Consider the following 18,618-nt stretch of genomic DNA (forward strand, 5'->3'; position numbering starts at 1 on the left):
ACTTGCCCAAGGTGTCACACCTGTTCCTAGGCTAAGGAGGCTAGAAAGACTCCATGTCTCTTGGTTTTGTTTTTGTTTTTGTTTTTCCTGAAAGCACATTATCTCTCTAGGGAACCCATGAATGGATTCTTATTTTCTCCCATACAAAGTCTTGGGTTCTAGGCTGGGCGCGGTGGCTCATGCCTGTAATCCCAGCACTTTGTGGGAGGCAGGACGGTCACTTGAGGTTAGGAGTTTGAAATCAGCCTAGTCAATGTGGCGAAGCCCCGTCTCTACTAAAAATACAAAACTGATCTGGGCATGGTGGTGGGTGCCTGTAATACCAGCTACATGAGAGGCTGAGACATGAGCATTGCTTGAACCGGGTGGTGAAGGTTGCAGTGAGCTGTGATAGTACTCCAGCCTGGGCAACAGAGCAAGACTCCGTCTCAAAAAAAAAAACAAAAACAAAAAAACAAACAAGCAAAAATAAATAAATAAAACCCCCAAAAAACTAAGGTCTTGGGTCCTAGAGTTTGAATCAGCATTAACAGCATCTTGTCAGTTTTTTCCTTTGGGGATTATCCCCATTTTCCAGATGAGAACTGAGGCTCTTCTCCCACTTTTTGCTTATGGACAGGTAAGAGTTTGACTCAGGCTTACTCAAAAGCCTGAGTGCTGTCACCTACTGTTCCCATAGACCCTAATTGATGAACTCATTAAACCTGTCCTTAGGGCCTGCTTGGGACAGCTACTGTGTTGGGTGCTAGGAAGAGACACATGAAAAAGATGGACACCAATAACATACTCATTTTTTCAAACAGAGCAGGAAGCCCAGGGTTGAGCTTCTGCCCCTTCTTGACTCTGTTGACTTCTCTCCATGTTCCAGGGTCAAGTCTGGATGGGCCCACAGGATTCTAACATCAAAAACAGTTGGAGATCCTTAAGAGATGGTGCCAGATCCTCTTGAAGGTCACAAAGACAAAAGCAGAGCAGAGACCTGGGCATTTCTGCCTCTGCTAAACTTCCAATGGTGGGATGTAGTGGAACTAGATGGGCAGGCCAGCTTTGTGTGACCTTGGGTGAATCACACTTCCTCCAGACTCTGCTTTCTCATTTGTAAAAATAGGATCTATTAAGATCCTCTCAGTGGCAGGTAATATAAACTGAACTTGAACTAGTTCAAGCAAAATAGAGAAGTTGGGTTTACATAATCAAGGATGGATAGGGCACAGTCGCCAATGTTTTAGGGGAGAGAAGCCAGGGGCTGTACTACCACCAGGTATGTCTTCCATTCTGTCTTCATTGTCTTTATATTGTGTCTCGTCTCGTCCCGTCCCATCCCGTCTCGTCTGTTTGAGACACGGTCTCACTCTTGCCCAGGCTGGAGGCCAGTAGCATGAGGCTCACTGTAGCTTCAACCTCTTGGGTTCAAGCAGTCCTCCCACCTCAGCCTCCCAGGTAGCTGGGATTACAGGCATATGCCACCATGCCTGGCTAATTTTTTGAATTTTTAGTAGAGATGAGGTTTCACCACATTGCCCAGGCTGGTCTCAAACTCCTGGGCTCAAGTGATCTGCCCTCCTCTGCTTCCCAAAGTGCTGGGATTACAGGCATATGCCACCGTGCCCAGCCCTTTGTGGCTTTCTGAACACCAGTATCATTATCAGGCTGGCTGAACCTGGGGAGCAGAGCCACAGGAAACCTTGGCCTGTAGACCACAAGAAGTACTTCCACTGCTGCTCCAGTTAGACAAATCCTGAGGAAGGACTCCAGTTGGCCCCAGTTGGTTCATGGGCCCATCCCTGTTTTAATCACTGTGGCCAGGTGGTGTGGGGTATTCTGAGTGGCCCACGATAGGTTCGGGGCCAACTGGGTGGGGAATGTCGTACACCTTAGGTGGGGCAAGGAACTGTGAACTACTCTTAACTGGAAGCTCCTGAGTTGGCTTTATGTATACCTGAGGGCTGTGCCAACTTTCAGCTGTCCAGAAGCTTCCTTTTACTTTTTTTTATTTTTTTATTTTTTATTTATTTTTTTTTGAGACAAAGTCTCCCTGTCACCCGGGTTGGAGTGCAGCAGCGTGATCTCAACTCACTGCAGCCTCTGCCTCCTGGGTTCAAGTGATTCTCCTGCCTCAGCCTCCCGAGTAGCTGGGACTACAGGCGTGCGCTACCACGCCTGGCTAATTTTTGTATTTTTAGTAGAGACGGAGTTTCACCATGTTGGCCAGGCTGGTCTCAAACTCCTGACCTCAAGTGATCTGCCCTCCTTGGCTTCCCGAAGTGTTGAGATTACAGGTGTGAGCCACTGCGCTGGGCCTTGGAGTTACCTAGCTTAATGCCCACTTTTTACAAATAAATAGACTCCCTGTGAGTCAAAGTATTTATGGAATGAATATAGTGTGGAGAGAGCTTTAGAGAAGAGCAATAAGGAGATCAGCCACTAATGAAGATCAGACCACCTGATAAAAACTTTATGACAGACCAGCTCAGAAAGCTGGGGCACTGGAGACGGGAATCCATGAACATCCACCAGTACTTGGATAACATTTGTGTATACCAGGAATAGTTGAAACTCCAGTCTCCCAAGAAAGACCAGCCACTCTAGTACTGGCAAAGGGATCTGCCCCAGGGCCACGATGACACTAGTGTGATCAGAGGAGAACTAGAAAATAGCCAGGCTACATGACTGTAAAACAATAGACAGAGACCAGCAGACAGCAGGGCATAACAAATCCTCAGCAATCCTCATATTCCTTCCCCATGCGTCCCCTCTATTCTGGTGAAGGAGGTCCTGATAGTCCCATGGATGCTTACCTCAAAAAGGCAGGATCAAGCTAGCTTCCATGGTTAAGGTGAAGATTGACCTCTCGGTGCCCACTTGTCTGAGGTGACATGCTAGGTGAGGTGTGCCGGGACAGTGGTACCTTAGATGGGAAGGCCCCAGTAATGCCACTGCCTGGCATTCCAGTGGTAAGGAGGTGTGGGGGAGGCATCAGAAGGACCTGGCTTAGGTGCTGTATCTACCACCAGTCAGCCGTGTGGCCTTGTCACCTCCTTGAGCCTCCGTTTCCTTATCTGAAAGAATGTTGCAGTAGTAAGGGAACCTACCTCCAAGGTCTGGCGTGAGGATATAAAGTGCTCAGCCTAGGACTCATCATTTCCAGTGACTGTCATCATGGTGGCTTCCAGTGGCCTTCCAGTGGTCCCCACTCCCCGTTCTGCCTGCTCCAGACGACACCCTGATAGTCCCCACATTGTACTTTTATTTGTGAAGACCATTTATCTGGAATGCCTCTTTAGCTCTCTCTTCATCCTTCAAGGTTTGTCTCAATGCCATTTCCTACACAGCATTTTCTTTTTTTGTTCTTTGGTTTTTTTGAGACAGAGTCTCACTCTTGCCCAGGCTGGAGTGCAGTGGTGCACTCTTGGTTCACTGTAACCTCCACCTCCCAGGTTCTAGAGATTCTCCTGACTCAGCCTCCCTAGTAGCTGGGATTACAGGCATGTGTCACCACACCTGGCTAATTTTTATATTTTTAATAGAGACGGGATTTTACCATGTTGGCAAGGCTGGTCTCAAACACCTGACCTCAAGTGATCCACCTGTCTGGGCCTCCCAAAGTGGTGGGAATACAGGCGTGAGCCACCATGCCCGGCCTCCTACACAGCATTTTCTGACCTCCTCCTGTCTCCTGCCCACCTCTGCCCATAACCCACCCATGTCATATGGGAACGTTTCCTCTCCCCTCTGAACTTGGATTACTTGTGGTTTCATTCTGCCTTGCATAGTAGCTGTTTGAGTATCTGTCCTGGCTCCTGATTAGATTGTACACTCTTTTATTGGGGTGATCAGACCCAACACCAGGTCCTGGGGGCGACAAAGTCTGGCGGAGTCAAAGGAATGAGAAAAAAACAGTTTGAAAGAGAAAGTGGGAACAGAGGGTCATGGCGAGTGTGGAGGCTGCGAAGGCCCCGAGCTCTGGGAGCACGCGCTATTTATTGGTGCTCAAACAAAGAAACAGGTGGTGAGGATGTGGGGGTTGAAACAGTGTATCGAGTGAATGAGAAACATATGGCTGCTTGAGATAATGGGAGTGCCAGAAGCAAGGGGCTGGCAAGTCTAGCAGACATGCAAGCCCTGCCTCACCTGCTCTCCCAACACTCAGTGCTTCTCCCAACATGCCTCCCCCTTCTCTTTTTTGTAAAAACCGCCACAGCTATCATTATTACTAGCATAAGGTGGCCTCTTTTTAAAATTGAGCAAGGCAATTGCAGGCTGTGTAGCGCTTAATTGCCGGTTGGTGATCCAGCTTCATTTTTCTTAGCCCTTATTCAAAATGGAGTCGCCCTGGTTTGAATGCTTCCTACGTATCTCCCCTTTCTCTTTTACAAGAGGACCCTTAATCCTAGGGGTTGCAGAAGGATGAAGGTCCGTCTTCTGTAACTTCTTCATGCTGAATAGGGGCAATGATACTCCTGCCTACCTATTAGGGTCTCTTGTATTCAGGGTAGAGAGGAGTTCAGTCAGAAAGCATTGGTCCATTAAGCATCTACAGGTAAAACCTTGGCACTCCAGCAGTTTCTCAGCAAGGCTCGTACTGGGGGAACCCAGTCCATGGTTGTACACATCTTGAGGGCACCTACACGGTTTGTTCATCTCCTGCAAAAACACAAGCATACCCTCACCCCCACGTTAGTAAATCTACTGAAACAGAAGCAAAAACTTCTGTGGCTGTAGCCTCGAGGCATGCCATTGCGGAAGCATTTGTAACTCAGCTTCGGCCTCTTTGGTTAATTACCACGTGGTGGAACTTACCATTGATAAGGAGAAGCAAGCCCCTTACAACAGAAGGCACAGACGAAGCAAATCCAGACTTAAAAGCAATCCTTAAACCTTCAATTTGCACTGTACAGGTGGGTCCACTAGATGCTGTGGTTCATGATAGATCTTCAGATGTTTGGTGGGCACCCACACAGGCACCTGATTGTCACCTGGAGAGACACAAGCAAATCCTCTTCCCCATAAAATTATCTTTCCTTTTCCCAGCGCTTTGTGCATCCCTCCACCACATATCTTGTCCAACCTTTTTATTTGCCTTTTGTCTTGTCAGGTGTTGTTCAGCTGCAGTCATGGGTTGAATCACAGCATTAACAGCCCTTAAATCTGTTAACATTCTCCATTTCCCTGATTTTTTCTTAATGACAAATACAGGATAATTCCAAGGGGAGAAAGTAGGCTCTATATGTCCCTTTTGCAAATGTTCCTGCACCAGTTCTTTTAAAGCCTCCAGTTTTTCCTGTTTCAGTGGCCATTGCTCCACCCAAACCAGTTTGGCCGTTAGCCAAACAAGAGGAATGGGAGCCGGAGCCTCAACAATGGCCGCTCCTAAAAATGACACCCCAATCCGGTCCAATCTGTTTGCCTTTTTAATTCTAAAGGTTCTGGTTGGCCATTTTTATCTTTTCCTAGTCCTTTTCCTGGGCAACATCCCATATTTCTCATCATTTGTCCTCTATTATTACTATATTGATCCATAGGAATAGATATTTCAGCATCCCATTGTTGCAATAAGTCTCTACCCCATAAATTGACAGGAATAGGTGTAAATGATAGGCTGAAATGTCCCTTCCTGACCATCTGGCCCTTGACATGGTAAAATCAAAGAACTTTGAAAAACTTCTGAGGCAGCTCCTACTCCAGCAATACCAATGGATGCCTTTTGCTTAGGCCAGTGCTGGGGCCATTGATTTATAGCAATAATAGAGACATCAGCTCCAGTTATCTACTAGTCCTTCAAAATCTTTTCCCTGAATAGTTACTGTGCAAATAGGTCTTTTGTCAGACACTTGATTAACCCAATACACAGCCTTTCCTGCTGGATTAGTATTACCAAAGCCTCCTGTTCTTTTCACTGTACTCTTCCTAGTTTTATGTAAGGTAACAGCAACAATTGAGCAATCATTTTTCCTGGGGAGGCAGACCACGGAGTCGAGGAACTAATAACTAATTTAATTTCTCCAGTATAATCAGAGTCGATTATTCCCATATGTACAGTAACACCTTTTAAATTCAGACTAGACCTTTCAAATAATAGACCTACTGTTCCTGAGGGTAAGGGTCCCCTAACTCCCGTGGGGACCTTTGGTGGCTCCCCAGGAAGTAAGGAGATGGGAATTGTGCTGTAGACATCTATGGCAGCACTGCCTGCTGAGGCGGGGGACAACTGTTGTACGTTTGTAAGGGTACTGGCTGTGCCGGGTATGCCTTGGTTTGTTGAGGGGCTCGAGGCGGGCCCCTCTTCCCATTTCCCGAAAGAGGTTGTCCATCTTTGCTAAATTTATAATGACACTGACTTTCCCAGTGATTGCCTTTCTTACACCGGGGACATACACCGGGACTTTTCTGTTGATTGATGGTAGTTTTTGCCTTTTGATTTCCTTTTCTACATTCCTTTCTTGTGTGTCCAAATTGCCCACAATTAAAGCAAGATCCTGAGAAATGGGGCATATTGTTTCCTACTCTTAAACCAGCCATAGTCTGATCTAAAAGAGTAGCCTTATATAAGTTACCTCCAATGCCATCGTAAGCCTTAATATATTCAGCTAAATAAGCCTTCCCTCTCAGGGGTCAAATAGCAGTTTGACACTCTGCATTAGCAGTATCGTATGCACGAAGCTGTGTTACAACATCCTGTGCTGTTTTATCAGTTATGGCTTTATACACAGCCTCTTGGAGTCAAGCAATAATATCAATATATGGTTCTTTGGGTCCTTGTCAGACAGAACTGAAAGAGGGATATTTTTCCCTTGTAACATTTATCCTTTCTCATGCCTGTAAGCACACAAAGTGCAGCTAAACAATGGCAACATCCTTCATTACTGCTTGATTTTCTAATCGACCCCAGTTGGGGCCAACTCCCATTAACCGTTCAAAGGAAACAGGCACAGGTGGCTGCACTTGTGTGTTTTCCCTTGCCTGAGTTTGAGCTTCATCAGTCCACCAAGTTTTAAACTGTAAATACTGAGACGGAGTGAGAACAGATTTTGTCAACGTATCCCAATCATATGGTATTAATTTATTATCAGAGCCATATTTTTAAAGTTTGCACAAAAGGAGGGTTCGGTCCGTATTGACTAATGGCGTCCTTCAATTCCTTTAGTAACTTAAAAGGAAAAGTAGCCCAATTAGCTATATTAGCCCTGCCTCCCTACTGGATTATAGTAACGGGAAATTGCCATGCTTCAAGGTCTCCCTCAGCTCTAGCTTTTTGAATAGAATTTTGTATAGCACCACCAATTGCTCCAGTTTTAATGTTGCAACTACAGAAGCAGTAAGTTTTTCGGCTAATTTATTTTCTTGCCCATTAAAGGGAGAGAGAGGAGGTGGCCATTCACTTAATTCAGCAGGTGGAGCCGACAGGCTAGTAAAACATACTTTTTTCAGTTTTCCTTTCTTTCATCTCCTCCGGTAGCTGTTCCTCACACTCAGAATCTGAAGTTAGTTTTTTACACTTGTCCTCCTCTTCCTCATCTGAATCTGCCTCATGATCTGTTTGAAATGGCTTAAGAGCTGCCTTTATTAGCACCCACATTGACCAAACGGAAACTAGAACTTCTGCTCCCTCTTTATATGCCTTTTTAAAGTCTCCCCCAGTTCTCTCCCATTTATTCAACTCCATAGTCCCTTGTTCAGGAAACCATGGGCAAAACTGCTTTACTGTACTAAAGAGTGATTAACAAATTGTGAGTACTAACTTTCATGCCCCCCTCTTTGTAATAAATGCTTTAAGAAATCTAAATAAGCAGAATGTCTGCTTTCACTTTGTCCCATTGTTACCCTGGTTCTTCCCAGTGCTCAGCTTTCCTGCCGAGCTTCTTTTAGACGTTCGACGTTCTTGGGTGTCCTGTGACAATGTGTCCTCCGCTTTCACATGCTCTAGTGTTCCTTCACCGGGGTCTTTGTCGCCCCACGTTGGGCAGCCAGGAATGTTGGGGTGATCAGACCCAACACCAGGTTGTGGGGACGACGAAGTCTGGTGGAGTCAAAGGAATGAAAAAAAAGTTTGAGAGAGAAAGTGGGACCAGGGGTCATGGCGAGTGTGGAAGCTGCAAAGGCCCTGGAGCTCTGGAAGCCCATGCTATTTATTGATGCTCAAACAAAGAAACAGTTGGTGAGGATGTGGGAGTTGAAAGGAAACAGTGTATCAAGTGAATGAGAAACATATAGCTGCTTGAGATAATGGGAGTGCTAGAAGCAAGGAGCCAGCAATTCTAGCAGACATGCAACCCCTGCCTCAGCTTCTCTCCCAACACTCAGCTTTTCTCCCAACACTGTTTGAAGGCAGGGACCAAGGATCCTCCAAGATTCAGTTCAGGCCTCTTTTCTTCTTTGATGCCAACAGCTGGCCCCAGTAGAAAAGGCCATTCTTTCCTGTGCTTCTGAGTCCCCACACCCGTCTTCACACAGAGTGCTTAGTGCACAACATCATTTGTTTGCACACTGTCGCTCCAATCAGGTTGTAAATATCTTTTTTTTTTTTTTTTGACAGAGTCTTGCTCTGTCGCCAGGCTGGAATGCAGTGGTGCTCACTGCAACCTCCACCTCCCAGGTTCAAGCAATTCTCCTGCCTCAGCCTCCCGAACAGCTGGGACTACAGGCACGTGCCACCACACCCAGCTAACTTTTGTATTTTTAGTAGAGACAGGGTTTCACCATGTTGGCCAGGATGGTCTCAATCTCTTGACCTCGTGATCTGCCCACTTTGGCCTCCCAAACTGCTGGGATTACAGGTGTGAGCCACCGCACCCAGCCGAGATGAGGTTTTATTATGTTGGCCAGGCTGGTCTTAAACTCCTGACCTCAGGTGATCCACCCACCTTGGCTTCTTGAAGTGCTGCGATTACAGGCGTGAGCCGCTGTGCCACCTGGTCTGGTTATAAATGTCTTGATGGCAGCGATGCTGACTTACTCATCCCTGCAATCACAATGCCTAGTAAATGGGGTAGTCACTCAGTGTTTTTTTTTTTTTCTCTTTGAGTCAGGAGTCTTGCTCTGTTGCCCAGGCTGGAGTGCAGTGGTACAATCTCAGCTCACTGCAACCCCTGCCTCCCAGGTTCAAATGATTTTCGTGCCTCAGCTTCCTGAGTAGCTAGGATTACAGGCATGTGCCACCACACCTCACTAATTTTTATATTTTTAGTAGAGATGGGGTTTCGCCACGTTGGCCAGACTGGTCTCAAATTCCTGACCTCAGGTGATCCTCCCATCTTGACCTCCCAAACTGCTGGGATTACAGGTGTGAGCCACGTGCCTGGCCAGCAAAGTCATTTAATTCTTGGGGACCCCTAGCAGGAACAAGAAACAGGAACACTTTCCAGCCTAGCCCTTTGTTAAATTAGGAAGTGTTACTCTGGCTATTAGAATTCTGGGCCTGGTCCAGCAGCTGACTTTGAAAGTTTGCAGGCCTATGAGGGACAGAGCCAGGGGCAGGCCTTGGACTGGGACCTCCTGTCTCCCCCAGTAATGTCTCTCTGGGCTTCAGCTCTCCCACTTGCTCTTCAGGGACAGTGGGGCTGGTGGGTGGTTTCTGCACTTCCTTCCATTTCTCAGATCCTGAGATGTGGCAACAGAGCTTTGCACACATAATGCTTCACAAACATCTGCTGAGTGGAAAGGAACAAATCCTGCTCTGAGCAAAGCCAGAAAATCCAGGCTTATCAAAAATGATCACTCAGGGAGAGTTTTACTTGACTAATGTGTTTATCACTTTACAAAGTGACTCCCAGTGGTATTCCTTATCCAGTCTGCTCATCCAGCAGCATTTTCAAAGCTTCTGCCCCAAGCCACTGTCATTCAAATGCACCTCCCCACTGGGTCAAGTTGGGTCTCCCAGCTAATGGAAGTTCCCCTGTACAGGAGCTTGGCCAGGCACAGTGTTTCATGCCAGTAATCCCAGCACTTTGGGAGGTCCAGGTGGGAGGATCACTTGAGGCTAGTAGTTTGGGACTAGCCTGGGCAATATAGCGAGACCCTGTCTCTACAAAAAATAAAATGAAAAATCACCCTGATGTGGTGGCATGTGCCTTTACTCCCAGCTACTTGGGAAGCTGAGGTGGGAGGATCTCTTGAGCCCAGGAGGTCAAGGCTGCAGTGAGCCAAGATTGAACCACTGCACTTCAACCTGGTGAGAGCAAAACCCTATCTCAAAATAAAATAAAATAAATCTCCCTATGGTTAAAAAACACTCATCTTCCACTTTATCCAGCATGTGTTTATTTATTAATAGCTCCTCATATGTACCAGGCACTCTTGTAGGTGCTAGAAATCATCAGTGAACAAAACTGACTCAAATCCTCTGCTTCCATGGAGATTGTATTTGAATAGTCTCAGGGGTGGCAGAGTAGGAAGAAAAGCAATCAGGTGAAACCGCTGGCTGCTGGAGTCTGATGCCTCTGGCTGAATGCAGGATGCCTCCTTTGGGCTTTATGGGGAGAACCTGGTTTACGCAGTCTTTTCTCTGTGCAATTCTTTGGCCTCTGGAAATGCTGTCCACAGGACTGGAAGGCTGTGTGTGTCCCTCCCTGCTGCAGTGAGGCTTCCTTTATCTGATGTGCATGGCCTCTGAAGTCAGATGGCTCTATTTGGAATCTCAGCTCTGCCTTGCACAAGAAAGTCATTTTGCCCCTCGGAGCTTCACCTTCCTCATCTGGAAACTGGGAATAATTGTAGTACCTACTTCATAGGCTTGCTCTGAGAACCCAGTGAGCTTGACAAGAACCTAGCCCAAGACCTGTCGTCTCACGGGTGAATGGGAAGGGGGTTGTGTCGGCAACTGTAATTGTGCTGTACTTGGAGTTGACACATACAATTCAAGAGGCAGCCTGGTGCTGGGGAGTGGGCCTCGGAATAATAATCTAGAGGTGGGAGTTCGGCTTCTATGACTCCTCAGTTTGCTCTGAGACCCTGGGTAACATATATCCCCCACCTTTTTTTTTTTTTTTTTTTTGAGACGAAGTTTCGCTCTTGTTGCCCAGGCTGTACTGCAATGGCACGATCTTGGCTTACTGCAACCTCCCACTCCCAGGTTCAAGCGATTCTCCTGCCTCAGCCTCCTGGGTAGCTGGGATTACAGGCACCCACCACCACGCCTGGCTAATTTTTTGTTTTGTTTTGTTTTGTTTTTGTATTTTTAGTAGAGATGGGGTTTCACCATGTTGGCAGGCTGGTCTTGAACTCCTGACCTCAGGTGATCCACCTGCCTCGGCCTCCCAAAGTGCTGGGATTATAGGCATGTGCCACCGTGCTTGGCCCTTAAATGCCTTTTCTGAGGATTGGTGATCTACTCTCTTCCCTCATATTCAGTTAATCCTTTAGGAGAAAGAAATTGGGCTGAGACAGATCCATATCCTCCAGGGGGCCTTGGAGCACCCCAAGCCAGCATGTGCCTGTTGGGAACCTGGTGGGGAGCAATGGTTGGTCACTGGGGCTCCAACCAAGCCCTCCCCAGGTACTTCTCGGGGACTGAGTGCACTTGCTCCACAAGAATGAAATGGTCACCAGGAAGAATTTTGGTCACCAAAGAATCCTTAGCTTTGTCATATTAGAGGGCTGGGAGGGCCTGATCCCCTGGAACCTGCCTTTCCAACCTGATTTCCCATACTTCTTCCCATAAGCCAGATCCCATGATTTCTCTCATTTCTCCAAACAGGCCTCTTGATTTTCCACCTTGGAACTAACTTTCTTCCTCCCTTCCTCCCTCCCTCTCTTCCTTCCTTTCTTGCTTTTGTTCTTCCTTTCTTCCATTCTTTCTTCTCTCCTTCCTTTAACCCCATCCCTCCCTCATCCCCTCCAATCCCCTCCCCTTCCTTCCATCGCCCAGGCTGGAGTACACTGGCGTGATCATAGCTTACCACAGACTCGAACTCCTGGCCTCAAGTGACCCTCCCACCTCAGCCTCCCAAGTAGCTAGGACTATAGGCATGTGCCACCAAGCCCCACTAATTTTTTTACTTCTTGTAGAGACGAGGGTCTCGTTGTGTTGCCCAGGCTGGTCTTGAGCTCCTGGCCTTAAGAAATCCTCCTGCCTGGGCCTCCCAAAATGCTGGGAATACAGGTGTGCACTGCTATGCCTGGCCCACCTCAGAACTTTTGATTCTACTGTTCACCCTGCAAGGAATATAGACTTACCCTCATTTCTACCTGAGGAAAGTCAGCTCAGACCCTTCGGGGCCTGCCCTGACATGAGCTCTGCCTTCCTAGACTAGACTCTGTCCGTCTCCCATCAGATAGGGAGCTTCCACCAGGCAGGGGCTGGACATGTTAGGAAAAGAGAGGCTTGGATGGATAACTTTTCTTTGTAAAAATTGCATTATGCGGAACCAACCATATTCTCTGGAGCTCTCAGGTAATTTCTATGGCAGTCCCCCTGACTCCACATTGCTTTGGAGATTCTGTATACTTTACTAAGGAATCACTGACTCCTCTGAAAGGTTTTCAAATAAAACCTGTCACTATCACTCTAAGCAGAGGTCACTAATTACTAGTCCTCCTGGGGCCAATAGTGGGGCGTTGATTTGATCAAACACTATGCTTCTCATAGTGATGAATTTAAGTACTTTGGATGTAGTATGCAAGCTGCAGTTAGCTGAAGCTCCCACCACTGCCATCTTCCTAAATCCAAGTGCATTTAATCTCCCTGGTACCTGAAGGCATGTGAGTTTGTGATCACTCCAAAGTGTTAGAACAGGGTCAGATGTGGTGGCTCACGCCTATAATCCCAGCACTTTGAGAGGCCGAGGCAGGCAGATCACGAGGTCAGGAGATCGAGACCATCCTGGCTAACGTGGTGAAACCCCGTCTCTACTAAAAATACAAAAAATTAGCCGGGCGTAGTGGCACGTACCTGTACTCCCAGCTACTCAGGAGGCTGAGGCAGGAGAATCTCTTGAACCTGGGAGGTGGCGGTTGCAGTGAGCCCAGATCACGCCACTGCACTCCAGCCTGGGTGACAGAGTGAGACTTTGTCTTAAATAAATAAATAAATAAATAAAGTTAAATTAGGCTGGGTGCGGTGGCTCATGCCTGTAATCCTAGCACTTTTGGAGGCCGAGGCAGGCACTTCACGAAGTCAAGAGATCAAGACCATCCTGGCCAACATGGTGAAACCCCATCTCTACTAAAAATACAAAAAAATTAGCTGGGTATGGTGGCGGGCACCTGTAGTCCCAGCTACTCAGAAGGCTGAGGCAGGAGGATTGCCTGAACCTGGCAGGCAGAGGTTTCAGTGAGCTGAGATCACGCCACTGCACTCCAGCCTGGTGACAGAGCAAGACTCCGTCTCAAAAAAAAAAAAAAAAAAAAAAAAAAAATTTAAAGGATTTTTTCCAGCCTATAGCCAGAAAGTGACAGACCTGGGATTTGAAACTTCCAGACTTGTGCCTTTAGCTGCATGCTGCCCTCACTCCCACTTGGGTTCAGTTCTGAAGCAGGGTATGGCTCAAGCCACTCCAGACCTTTCCTGAATAAAATGAGACACACATCAGCATCTACTTTTGTATCTGTGGCCACAAGCTCATAAGAGACTCTGTCTGGATTTTGGAATGAAGACCAGATGGCAGCTGGGAGACCTGGGTTTTTATCCAGTCAGTGATGTGACCTTGGACTCGGGCAGAGGGGGACAGTGATATTTGCTATCTCACAAGGCTAACCTCAGGTGGAAGTGATGGCTTGTAAGCAGTTCTGCAAAACAAGGATGACCAGCTACTCCAGAGCCTTCCAGCCCAAGGGGACTTTGCTCCTTGCCATCTTTTAGCGTTTCCTTCTCCTGAGCCTCTCAGGGACAGTCTGGCAGGGTTTGTTTTGGGTGGGCAGGCACCTTGGGGTTGGAGGCTCAGGTTTATATTCTTTTACTGCACAGGTGAGCAGGTTTTCGGACTAGAGAACCTTCTGTTTGAATCTTGGCTCCCCATTTGCGCGTGCGCGTGTGTGTGTGTGTGTGTCTGGGCAGGCGTCTTTAGCTTTGTGAGCCTTGATTTCTTCTTGCATAAACATAGGGATTATGAAACCAATCTTACAGGGTTGTTTTAAGGGTGGGAAGTGATGTATACAAAAGGCCTAACATTTGTAAAACAGAAGCATTTTATAGTAATTTTCTTTTTTTCTTTTCTTTCCTTTTCTTTTCTTTTTTTTTTTTTTTTTGAGATGGAGTTTCGCTCTTGTTGCCCAGGCTGGAATGCAGTGGCACGATCTTGGCTCACTACAACCTCCACCTCCGGGGTTCAAGTGATTCTCTCTCCTTAGCCTCCTGAGTAGCTGGGATTACAGGCGCGCACCACCACATGCAGCTAATTTTTTGTATTTTTACTAGAGATGGGGTTTCATCATGTTGGCCAGGCTGGTCTCAAACTCCTGATCTCAGGTGATCTACCTGCCTCAGCCTCTCAAAGTGCAGGGATTACAGGTGTGAGCCACCTCGCCCGGCCACTAATTTTCTGTTTTTCCTTGTTGTTTGTTTGTTTTTGAGACCGAGTCTTGCTCTGTCACCCAGGCTGGAGTGCAGTGGTGGGACCTCAGCTCACTGCAACCCCTACCTCCCGCATTCAAGTGATCCTCTCACCTCAGTCTCCCAAGTAGCTGGGACTACAGGTGTGCGCCACCATACCTGGCTAAGTTTTGTATTTTTAGTAGAGACAGGGTTTCACCATGTTGGCCAGGCTGTTTACCATGTTGGCCTGGCCCGGAAACTTCATCTTTAAACAAAACAATGTATCATAAAACCAATTTTGCCATAGGCTAATTGATATAAACAAGAGCTAAGTTCTTATTGCTTATTTCTTGCCACAAAACAGCACCAAACTTCTAAATAAAGATCCAAAACATTTCTAATATTAAATATTGAAATAAATGTGAACTATATATATGCTTAAGAAACATGAATAAAAAACAAGTAAGGTAATTATTTACCCGCTTATTCCAGTTGAGGTTTGTGAGTGGCCGGAGCCTATCGCAGCAGCTCAGGGCACAAGGCAGAAGCCAACCCTGGACAAGATGCCATTCCATGGCAGAGCACACATATTCACATTCACTCAGACCGGGACCATTTAGACACACCAATGAACCTAATACACATGTCTTTGGGATGTGGGAAGAAACCAGATTACCTGGAGAAAACCCACACAGACCTGGGGAGAACATGCAAACTCCACACAGATATTGGCTCCCTGCTGGGAATTGATTTTCTCATCAACATTATTATTAATATTACTATTATTTTTTGAGACAGAGTCTCACTCTATCACCAAGGCTGGAGTGCAGGGGTGTGGTCTCAGCTCACTGCAACCTCTGCCTTCCAGGTTAAAGCGATTCTCTTGTCTCAGCCTCCCAAGTAGCTGTGATTACCAGTACATGCCACCACGCCTGGCTAAGTTTTGTATTTTTAGTAGAGAGTGGATTTCACCATGTTGGCCAGGCTGTTCTTGAACTCGTGACCTTAGGTGATCTGCCCACCTTGGCCTCCCAAAGTGCTTGGGATTACAGACGTGAGCCACCACGCCCGGGTTCTCATCAACACTATAACAAAAGGATGTTAAACAAAATGATGTGATTTGAGGACATGTTGCACTTACACAAACCTACATGGGATAGACTACTACACTCCTAAGGTATATGATGTAACCTATTGCTCCTAGGCTACAAACCTGTACGGAATGTTACTGTAATGAATACTGTAGGCAAATGTAATACAAAGGTAGGCATTTGTGTATCTAAACATATCTATAGATGGAAAAGGTGCAGTAAAAATACAGTATTATAATCTTATGAGACCACTGTCGAATATTTGGTCTGTGGTTGACTGAAATGTCATGTGTATGTGACGGTACATAGACTGGGAGACTATTATGGTATACTCTAGACTGACTGACAGAGATTGAGAAATTTATTTCTTGCAGTTCTGGAGGTCAGAAGTCCAAGATCAAGGGCCTAGCCTGTTTAGTTTCTGGCGAGGTCTCTATTCCTGGCTTGCAGATGGCTGCCTTCTTGCTGTGTCCTCACTTGGGGATGAAGAGAGAAAGCAAGCTCTCTGGTGTTTCTTCTTTTCTTTCTTTCTTTTTTTTTCTTTTTGAGATGGAGTTTCGCTCTGTCTCCCAGGCTGGAGTGCAGTGGCGTGATCTCAGATCACTGCAACCTCCACCTCCCAGGTTCAAACAATTCTCCTGCCTCAGCCGCCTGAGTATCTGGGACTACAGGCGAATGCCACCAGGCCCGGATAATTTTTGTATTTTTGGTAGAGACGGGGTTTCGTCTCGTTGGCCAGGCTGGTCTCAAACTCCTGATCTCAGGTGATCCACCCACCTCAGCCTCCCAAAGTGCTGAGATTACAGGCGTGAGCCACCATGCCAGGCCTTTTTTTTTTTTGACATGGAGTCTCACTCTGTGACTCAGGCTGGAGTGCAGTGGAGCGATCTTGGCTCACTGCAAGCTCCGCCTCCCAGGTTCATGCCATTCTTCTGCCTCAGCCTCCCGAGTAGCTGGGACTACAGGCGCCTGCCACCATGCCTGGCTAGTTTTTTGTATTTTTAGTAGAGACAGGGTTTCACCGTGTTAGCCAGGATGGTCTTGATCTCCTGACCTCATGATCCGCCCGCCTTGGCCTCCCAAAGTCTTGGGATTACAGGCGTGAGCCACCGCGCCCAGCCTTTTTTTTTTTTTTTTTTTTTTTTGAGAAGGAGTCTCTCTCTGTTGCCCAGGCTGGAGTGCAATGGCATGATAGCTCACTGCAACTTCCGCCTCCCAAGTTCAAGCGATTCTCCTGCCTCAGCCTCCCGAGTAGCTGGCATTACAGGCATGCACCACCACGCCAGGTTAATTTTTGTATTTTAGTAGAGATGGGGTTTCACCATGTCGGCCAGGCTGATCTCAAAGTCCTGACCTCAAGTGATCTGCTTGCCTCAGCCTCCCAAAGTGCTGGGATTACAGGTGTGAGCCACCGCGCCTGACCTCTTTTTATTTTAACACTGAAATAACAGGAAACAATGGTGTTTCTTTTTATAAGGAATCCTATTGGATTAGGGCCCTACTCCATAACCTCATTTAACCTTAATTAACTTCCTTATTCCAAATACAGTCACACTGGGGGTTAGGGCTTCAACATACGGATTTTCGGGGGACAACATTTAGTCCACAGATCAGTGTTTCCTAAAACATGATCTGTGTTCCATATTCCCCAATTGTCCCCAAGATGTATTATTTATTATTATTATTTTTGAGATGGAGTTTCACTTTTGTTGCCTAGGCTGGAGTGCAATGGCACGATCTCGGCTGACCGCAACCTCCACCTCCCGGGTTCAAGCGATTCTCCTGCTTTGGCCTCCCCAGTAGCTGGAATTACAGGCATGCGCCACTATGCCCGGCTAATTTTTTATATTTTTAGTAGAGATGGGATTTCTCCATGTTGGTCAGGCTGGTCTCGAACTCCCAACCTCAGGTGATTCCACCCGCCTTGGCCTCCCAAAGTGCTGGGGTTACAGGTGTGAGCCAATGTGCCCGGACTTTTTTTTTTTTTTTTTTTTTGAGATGAAGTTTCACTCTTATTGCCCAGGCTGGAGTGCAGTGGTGCGATCTTAGCTCACTGCAACGTCCACCTCCTGGGTTCAAGTGATTCTCCTGCCTCAGCCTCCCTAGTGGCTGGGATTACAGGCGTCTGCCACCACGCTTGGCTAATTTTTGTATTTTTAGTGGAGACAAGGTTTTGCCATGTTGACCAGGCTGGTCTCGAACTCCTGACCTCAGGTGATCCACCTACCTCAGCCTCCCAAAGTGCTGGGATTACAGGCGTGAGCCACCGTGCCCAGCAGTATTTTTTTAATGGTTTGTTTGAATCAGGATTAAAATAAAGTTCACACACACTGTATCTGGTTGATACATCTTTCGAAACTTTATAACATTTTCCAATTCACCTCCTTTTCCTAGGCCATGCATTTATTGAATAAAACTTGTCGTTAGGATGTAGATTTTTCTATTTTTGGATTTGACTGACTGACTCCTTCTGCCATTTAGCATGTTCCTCTGTCTCCTGCATTTTAAAAGTACTGTTCAAACTAAAAACTAAACAGATTTAGTTTTTTTGAATGGAGGGAGGTGGTATAAAAATAATCATAGGTGGTGCTGTTTTTCCTGTTTGGTCACATGGGGGGAGGCACATTATATCCTGTTGCACTTTTTGTGATGCTAAGATCAACAGGTAGAATCAGCTGATGTCAGCCTGATCCTTTCAGACGTTCCCCATCAACCCCATCACTTAGTTAACTATTGGTGATTATTTGATCCATTACAGTATTTCATTAGGAGTTGGCAAATATAATTTTTTTCTAATTCTATAATTCCTTCTGCATTTATTATTTTTATTATTATTTTTTGAGACAGGGCCTTGATCTGTCACCCAGGCTGGAGTGCAATGGCATGATCTTGGCTCACTGCAACCTCCACCTTCCAGGCTCATGTGATCCTTCCACTTCAGCCTCCTGAGTAGCTGGGACTACAGGCACACACCACCATGCCCAGCTAATTTTTGTATTTTTTGTAAAGACGGGGTTTCACTATGTTGCTCAGGCTGGTCTCAAAACTCCTGGACTCAAG

The sequence above is a fragment of the Homo sapiens genome, chromosome 22 (assembly GCF_000001405.40).
Source record: "Homo sapiens chromosome 22, GRCh38.p14 Primary Assembly".
Lineage (NCBI taxonomy): Eukaryota > Metazoa > Chordata > Mammalia > Primates > Hominidae > Homo > Homo sapiens.